Consider the following 7,618-nt stretch of genomic DNA (forward strand, 5'->3'; position numbering starts at 1 on the left):
TGTAGGGAAAATGTAAAAATTCTATTAGTGGACTTTCAGTTCCCATTTGGCATATAAAGAAGTTTTGAAGTGATCTCTCCCATCCCTGCAGTAAGAAAAAAAAGCTGAACAAACTGAGAATCAACTCTTCTAGGTCCACCACAGGACTGAGGCAAAAGGACAAGCTGCTGCCCTCCAAAATTAGACAAACAGGTAGATTACAGAGAATCTCAACGTACCGGAAGAGAGGCTCAGAAGCAGAAACCTCCTGGAGACCAGGAAATGTTAATGTGTAATTGACAAATTGCGGCTGGGAACAACTTTGAGAGTTACAACTCCAGGTAGCCTCTTATACTTCCTGTGAGTGTTTCCTCTGGGAGCCAAACCAGGTTCTCACAGTGAAGATTAGAAAAAATCCCCCAGCCTTTCTGACAGGGGAAGGGGGAAAAGTAGCCTTTCTTAAATACACCCAGAGCCTTCTGGTCTTCTTAACAATGCCCCTCAGGAGAAACTAGTTAACAAGAGCTAGAAACTATTTAACTGGAACTAGAGGGAATGGGTGTGAGATCGCAGGCACCCTGGGAATTAGCAAAGATCTTAGAGTGGGCTTGGGCTTTCTTCCCCAGTCTGCAGAGCGGGGCAGGGTGGCCCTGGCTATATTTGAGCTGCATAAAGATTACCTTCTTTATAAATGGGAGACAAGTGGGATGGAGTCATCTCCTTGGTCTCTAAAACCACAGAGCCCAGAGTGGTAGGATAAGGGCATAAATTCTCCAAGTGGGTCATGGGATGGGATGGTGGTAAAAGGGTCCACTGCTTCCGGCCCTTGGGTCCCAGGCCCACGTTTTCCACCTAAGGGGGATGCAGCACCACACAAATGCCTTTGCTTAGAATGTGCCCTGGGCCCCAGAGGAAGGCACCCCATCTTCACATGGTGTCACCTCTGAGCTGGAACTTCAGCCATTCCATTGCCTTGTCAGCGGGCAGCTGAGGAATAATGTGGTTTGCGCTATGACACATGGATCTTCGGATAATGTGCCCACCTCCTTTGCTGCAAAGTCGTCTGATAATAGTGCTGTCTGAGGCCCTGTGGGCAGAAAACACAAATCCATACTTGGAATATGTATATTCTGTCAAGTTGAAACTCTGTCCCCACAGGGTGCTAAGGGTTTAATATAACTTGCCACCATATGACTGGTTGGTCTTCTCAAAGGGTGGTGCCATATTGGGGACTGAGCGCTGGTTTCTCATCTGGGCAGGTTGGGTGTTCGGAGGTGGCAGAGTTCAGCGTGGGTGGGTGGGAGGGCACACTGTTGGGCTCATGCACAGCTTCTGTGTGCTACAACAGCTCCTCCATTCACGAATCTGCAGAACTTGCCCAGGGATGCCAAGACAGGCTGGCTGTCATTTTCTCTGTAGGTGAATGTGTAATATGAACAAAAACTTCCCAAGGACCCCTTTTGTTGTTTAGTGTCTCATCTTTAATGGCTCCTTTCTGGTGTGTATGAATGTGTAATATAAAGATAGTCACACTTTGTGCCAAGTTCCACGTGTCTACCCATATCCTTCTATCTTGCTGTCCCCATTGGTCCAACCTTTCTCCTTCCAGTCCCCTGACCAGCCAGCCGTTTGTCATTGCCATGAATGCAACGATACTCTTATTTTGGGCCCATCTTCTTTCCACGTAAAGTGGAAAACCAAGTGCCCTTCTTAAAGTGTTTCCCACAAGGAGGATTTTTCATCACCACTGTCCTTCAAGGACACCCATGAATGGGGCTGTGGATGCCGTTGCTGTCCATTTTCAGCTTGCTCTCACATACCAACCTGGCCCATTTGTAAAAACAGCTTGGACGTTTTCCTCTTCTGCCAGCTGGCCAGAGGGAGAGATGGTGAGGTGAAGTGGTGGGGGACGTGAGAGTTGGGCTACCTGCTCTTTTGGCTTGTTTGGGTACTCAACCTGTTCATGCATCATTGCATGGGTATCTCCTTCCACCTCAGGATGAATTCCTGCAGGCTTCAGCCTACATTATGCTTTGTGGGTTGGACAGAACCCAGCTCAGGATGGCCTGCTCTGGTCACGTAACAGGGCATCCTATGTGCCTCTTCTCAACCAAGCCTCAGTAGCACAGCAGGAGCTGCTTATTAAAGAGCATTTAGTTCTCTGCTGAAAATACCATGGCCATACTCCAGAACCTTGGGGATCTAAGTTTGGTTCTCCCATTGGAGCTCACCATTAACACCACACAGCATATTTTCCTTCCATGGAAATTATAAGCTCTGGTGAGTGCCACAGTCCCAACAACAGAGCTATTTGCACCGCAGAAGCTGGAATCTCTGCAGAGTTCCTTCCTGCTTTGAACCTCCCTCCAAGCTGGCAGCTGTTTGTGTTCTCCATGACATAGTTTGGGGCAGTAACCATAGTTATGGAAGCTGTCGTCTCCAGAACTCCAAGGCTCCAACCAGGGTTCTTTCTAGTGATTAGAGGCTCAACATGCAATAATTCATTCTTTATTTTGGAGAAGAAGTTGTAGAAATCCCAGACCAATGGGCCTTTAATATTTTTCTGATGTGGTGGACCTGAGTCTTCCTAGCAAAGGTGCCATATCTGGTCCAGTCCCTGCAACTGGGGCTACTATTTGGTTGAGTCTGTGGCATCCCACTGTTATCTTCAGGACTTGTTTGTTTGTTGTAGGGACCAGAACTGGTAAATTAAGTAAAAACTGCACCTTTCAAATTTTTAAGAGTGGCTATAATGTCTACTATTTCCCCTAGGATGTGAAATTGTCTTTGATTTGCTATCTTGGCCAGGGTGGGGTATAGTTTTAGATGTTTCCATTGGTTTTCCCCGGTGCAATAACTCTTACCACAGAGGCCAAAGCACCAACGTGGGGCTTGTGCTCATTATTAAGAATGGTGATTCCACTGTGCATCCATAAAAAGGAATGAGATCATGTCCTCTGCAGGGACATGGATGAAGCTGGAATCCATCATCCTCAGCAAACTAACACAGGAACAGAAAACCAAACACCATATGTTCTTACTCATAAGTGGGAGTTGAACGATGAGAACACATGGACACAGGGAGGGGAACAACACACACCGGGGCCAGTCAGGGGGTGGGAGGTGAGAGAAGAGAGAGCATTAGGGCAAATAGCTAATGCATGAGGGGCTTAAAACCTAGATGATGGGTTGATAGGTGCATCAAACCACCATGACACACATATACCTATGTAACAAACCTACACATTCTGCACTTGTATCCCAGAAATTAAAGTTAAAAAAATAAATAAAATAAAGGATAGCAATTCCAATCACATAATCAACAGTGAGGAAAATGGCTACCCGGTGGGCCCACAGACCCAGTGGATCTACTGTGAGCCAGCCCTGGGCCAGGAGTCCATTGATTTCCCGCCCTCCATATCCCACCTCTAACTTGGGGCTAAGGATGAAGCTCTGGAGCTTTGCCTCTCAGTGCCAATTTGGACCCTGCGTCTACCAGTCCTTGACATGTTTGGGTTTTTCCCTGCCCCCAGTGCATGTTTACCTGAGTAAATGGAGCAAATCTCTTTGAGGAAGGCTGTGGAATTGTTGTCACGTGCGCTTGACTTGTTGTCACAGGGTCTTCATCCTGGAAACTCGACCTCTCTGTCAGTTGGTGGGATCTGACTTTGAAAACTTGTTCGGGTCTAGCAACTGGGTAAAGGATGAGGACCTTTTCACTGGGATGACTGCCCTTAACCATCTTCGATTTTGTTTGATTGTACATGTTGGTCAGTACCTTTGATAGCTGTCCATTCATTCTGTCCCTAGGGTTACTGTGTCCTGTCACCTGTCTCCATTAATGTTCAGACTCTGCTGTCACTGTATTAGTAACCACCTAGCTTTTGTGATGACTGACCACAACCACCTTCTCCATTGTTTGGGGCACCTGTTGGCCTCACTGCTGTCTGTGAATTCAGTTCTGTGATGTTCTATTTTATCATCATCCCTTGGCTATGGAGGACGGTCCCAACACCAGTGCATTCTTCATCACTTTGCTGAAAGGTGTGTTCTTCAGGTCCTCCGCCAGAGCAGTCTTCCGGGGGGTTTTCTGGGCTAATAGTGGACCCACTGCAGCATGCACACGGTGATGCTTCTACATGCCAAGGAGCACCAAAGATTGCCAGCAAACCACCACAAATCTCAGTTCATTTTCCAGGGCTGCTGTCACAAACTACCACAAACTAGGTGGCTCAAACTACAGAAATGTATCATCTCACAACTCTGGAGGCTAAAAGTGTGAGATGAAGGTGTCAGAGGCCTGGCTCCTTCTGAGAGCTCTGAGTGAAGGGTTTGTTCTGGGCCACTCTCCTTGGCCTGTGGATGGTGGTCTTCTCCCTGCGTCTTCACAGCATCATCCCTCTATGCATCTATCTTCAAATTTTCCCTTCTTTTTTTTTTTTAGACGGAGTCTCGCTCCGTCGCCCAGACTGGAGTGCAGTGGCGCAATCTCAGCTTACTTCAAGCTCCACCTCCCGGGTTCATGCCGTTCTCCTACCTCAGCCTCCTGAGTAGCTGGGATTACAGGCGCCCGCCACCACGCCTGGGTAATTTTTTGTATTTTTAGTAGAGACGGGGTTTCACCATGTTAGCCAGGATGGTCTCGATCTCCTGACCTCGTGATCTGCCTGCGTCGGCCTCCCAAAGTGCTGGGATTACAGGTGTGAGCCACTGTGCCTGGCCAAATTTTCCCTTCTTAAAAGAACACCGGTCATATTGGATTAGGAACCCTACTCAGCTCCAGAACGACCTCACCTTTACTTCACTAATTACATCTGCAAAGGCCTTGTTTCCAAATAAGATCACTTTCTGAGGTGCTGCGGGTTAGGACCTCAACATATGGATTTTGGAGGACACAATTCATACATAACAATATGTATGGTAGCAACGATTATTAAACACCTTTTATAAATTCATGACTTCAAAGGAAGAGCTCCTGAATCCCGGTTTTGGGACGCAGGGAACATTACCCCAGTGGTAGTGGCCCATGTACCCCCACATTCTGTACTACGGGACACACGGGCAAGCCTCCAGCTTCTTGGAGGATGGACCCACGTGGGTGACATCTGCAGGTATAGAATGAAGTACAGGCAAGAGGAGAGCAGGAAATGATTAATGAATATTCATAAACTGTGATTTTTTTTTGGATTTTAAAAAGATGCTTTCTTAAACTTGTCTTCTTTTTATATTCTCTTCGATATGTTGCCTCAAGCACAAAAATGAGGAAAATTACTGCACTAACAATCTGATGAAAAAGTTGGACTGTTGGCTTTCCTCAGCTGATTTGTGGTCACTACTGGGCTCTCGTTGTCTTCTTGAAGTCTCACTTTAGCTCCTGCCAATCAGACAGCCTCAAAGCCCAGTGTCGGGCAGTTTGGATCTGAGTCAAGCAGTAATCAGAGCGGTTAGGCTTAGTCAGTATTCTCTGAATGAAAATTTTGCCGATGAACCTTTTTCTGCAGAGCGGAAGTGGCTGGGCACCCTTGCGAGATGAGAACCACCAGATGGCGCTGAATCCTCAATAAGAAAAGAGCCTGGTGTGTCTTTCAGGCCCTGAAGGCATGATAATCTTGGGGACCCACAAAAGTGTTTTCATTTACTTTAAAATCAGAAGAAAAAAAGTGAATATAATACTCTTGGATTATATTCACTTTTTTACTAATGCAATCATTAAATATACTTTCTTTCTTTTTTTTTTTTTTTTGAGACGGAGTCTCGCTCTGTTGCCCACGCTGGAGTGCAGTGGCACGACCTTGGCTCACTGCAAGCTCCGCCTCCCGGGTTCACGCCATTCTCCTGCCTCAGCCTCCCGAGTAGCTGGGACTACAGGCGCCCGCCACCATGCCCGGCTAATTTTTTGTGTTTTTAGTAGAGACGGGGTTTCACTATGTTAGCCAGGATGGTCTCGATCTCCTGACCTTGTGATCCGCCCGCCTCGGCTTCCCAAAGTGCTGGGATTACAGGCGTGAGCCACTGCGCCTGGCCCTACTTTCATACATATACTTTTAAAAAGTGTGTGTGTGTGTATAGAGGCAGGGGCTCAGGGAGCCAAAGTACGCAGGAGTCATAATGGGGACCCGGCCTGGTTGTTTTTCTGTATCATACGTGGGATGTGGATCAAAAGTGTCAGTGAATTTCATGTCAGGTCCAGGCGTGTCTCTCTTTGTGGACGTCTTTCAATTGTATGCATTCATGTATTTGTTTAACTCAATAGGTCCCTTCTCAGTCACATGTTCTTTTTTTGTTTGTTTTTGTTTTTGTTTTTTGAGACCAGGTCTCTCTCTGTTGCCCAGGCTGGAGTGAGGTGTGATCTCGGCTCACTTCAACCTCTGCCTCCCAGGCTCAGAGGATCCTCTCACCCCAGCCTCCCAAGTAGCTGGGACTACAGGTATGAGCCACCAAACCCAGCTTAAATATATATATATATATATATTTTTTTTTTTTGTAGAGAAGTGGTTTGCCATGTTGCCCAGGCTGGTCTCCAACTCCTGAGCTCAAGCGATCCACCCATCTTGGTCTCCCAGAGTGCTGGGATTACAGGCGTGAGCCACTGCACCCAGCCCCACATGTCCTTTTGATTCTACTTCCTAAATGTCTCTCCAGTCTGTCACCTTCTCTGTAAATCCACTGTGGTCACCTTCATTCAGGCCACTGGTACGTTTCTCCTGGACTTTTACAATAGCTTCCCGTTGGGCGTTTTGTTTCCAGCCTTGTCTTCTACATATATATCCAAGGCAATCTTCTAAAAATCAAATCTGCTCATGTCAGTTTTTTGCTTTAAAACTCTCTGTGACTCTTTGCTGCCTAAAGTGGCTGTTTCTGAGGTAGGGTGTGTGTCCTCGAGGAAGCAGGTAAGGTAATTCATGGGAGCGTAGAAGAAAAACAGAACCCTTGTTTGTATTTACCTTTAATTTGATCCTTTAAACACTTGTATTTTTTGTATGCTTTATTTATTTACACAATACATGTACATTATTCATAAATATAACATGTATTATATTGGGAAAGGTATGGGTACCTTTCTTTTTTTCTTCACCAAAAGGATGCATCATCAAAAGTGTTTGGAGACCTTAAGAATGATGTCCAAATTCATTAGAATCACAATAGGCCTCTCTGATATGAATCAGATTTACCTTCGAGATCTTACCTGCTTAGTTCTAGCCGCACAGGACATCCCAGCTGTAAGCTCTTAAGCTTTCATGCATTTATGAACATTCCATACACAGAATGCACCTCCCCAATCATCATTCCTCACCTAATCAACTCCAACTCCTCCTTCACCATCCAGCTCCCTGGGATGCTCTCAGAGTTCCTCTCTCCTGTGTGCTGCCTTAGCTGCCTTAGCGTAGGTTGGTGCAAAAGTCATTGCGGTTTTAGACCGTGAATTTTAAATCATTAGAACTAGACTCAAACACATCTTCATTAATCAAAACAGGAACCATTGCAATCAACACATTTTTGCCAATGATTAATAAGTTTGTTTATTCCTGCAGTGTAAAAATCCATGCTTCGGGATTCGACGAACTCTTGGAATGCATTTTCTGCATCCTGCTTGTTGGGGAAGCATTTTCCCTGCAAAAAGTTATCGAGATGCTTGAAG

General features: G+C 46.1%; 3 annotated features.

Annotated features, from left to right (window-relative positions):
- Positions 3,529 to 3,673: an enhancer, noted in NCBI's record as "145 bp 7:22141595 sequence used in MPRA reporter constructs". NCBI's record gives its function as "activates a minimal TATA-containing promoter with rs73075633 allelic activity by MPRAs in UACC903 melanoma cells {active_cell/tissue: UACC903}" and the evidence as "EXISTENCE:reporter gene assay evidence [ECO:0000049][PMID:36423637]".
- Position 3,601: a transcriptional cis regulatory region, noted in NCBI's record as "rs73075633 or 7:22141595 MPRA-significant variant associated with a GWAS melanoma risk locus at 7p15.3". NCBI's record gives its function as "allelic transcriptional activity by MPRAs in UACC903 melanoma cells {active_cell/tissue: UACC903}" and the evidence as "EXISTENCE:reporter gene assay evidence [ECO:0000049][PMID:36423637]".
- Positions 5,320 to 5,409: a silencer, noted in NCBI's record as "silent region_17999". NCBI's record gives its function as "represses an Ori minimal core promoter by ATAC-STARR-seq in GM12878 lymphoblastoid cells {active_cell/tissue: GM12878}" and the evidence as "EXISTENCE:reporter gene assay evidence [ECO:0000049][PMID:35858748]".

Source organism: Homo sapiens, chromosome 7 (genome assembly GCF_000001405.40).
Source record: "Homo sapiens chromosome 7, GRCh38.p14 Primary Assembly".
Taxonomy (NCBI): Eukaryota; Metazoa; Chordata; class Mammalia; order Primates; family Hominidae; genus Homo; species Homo sapiens.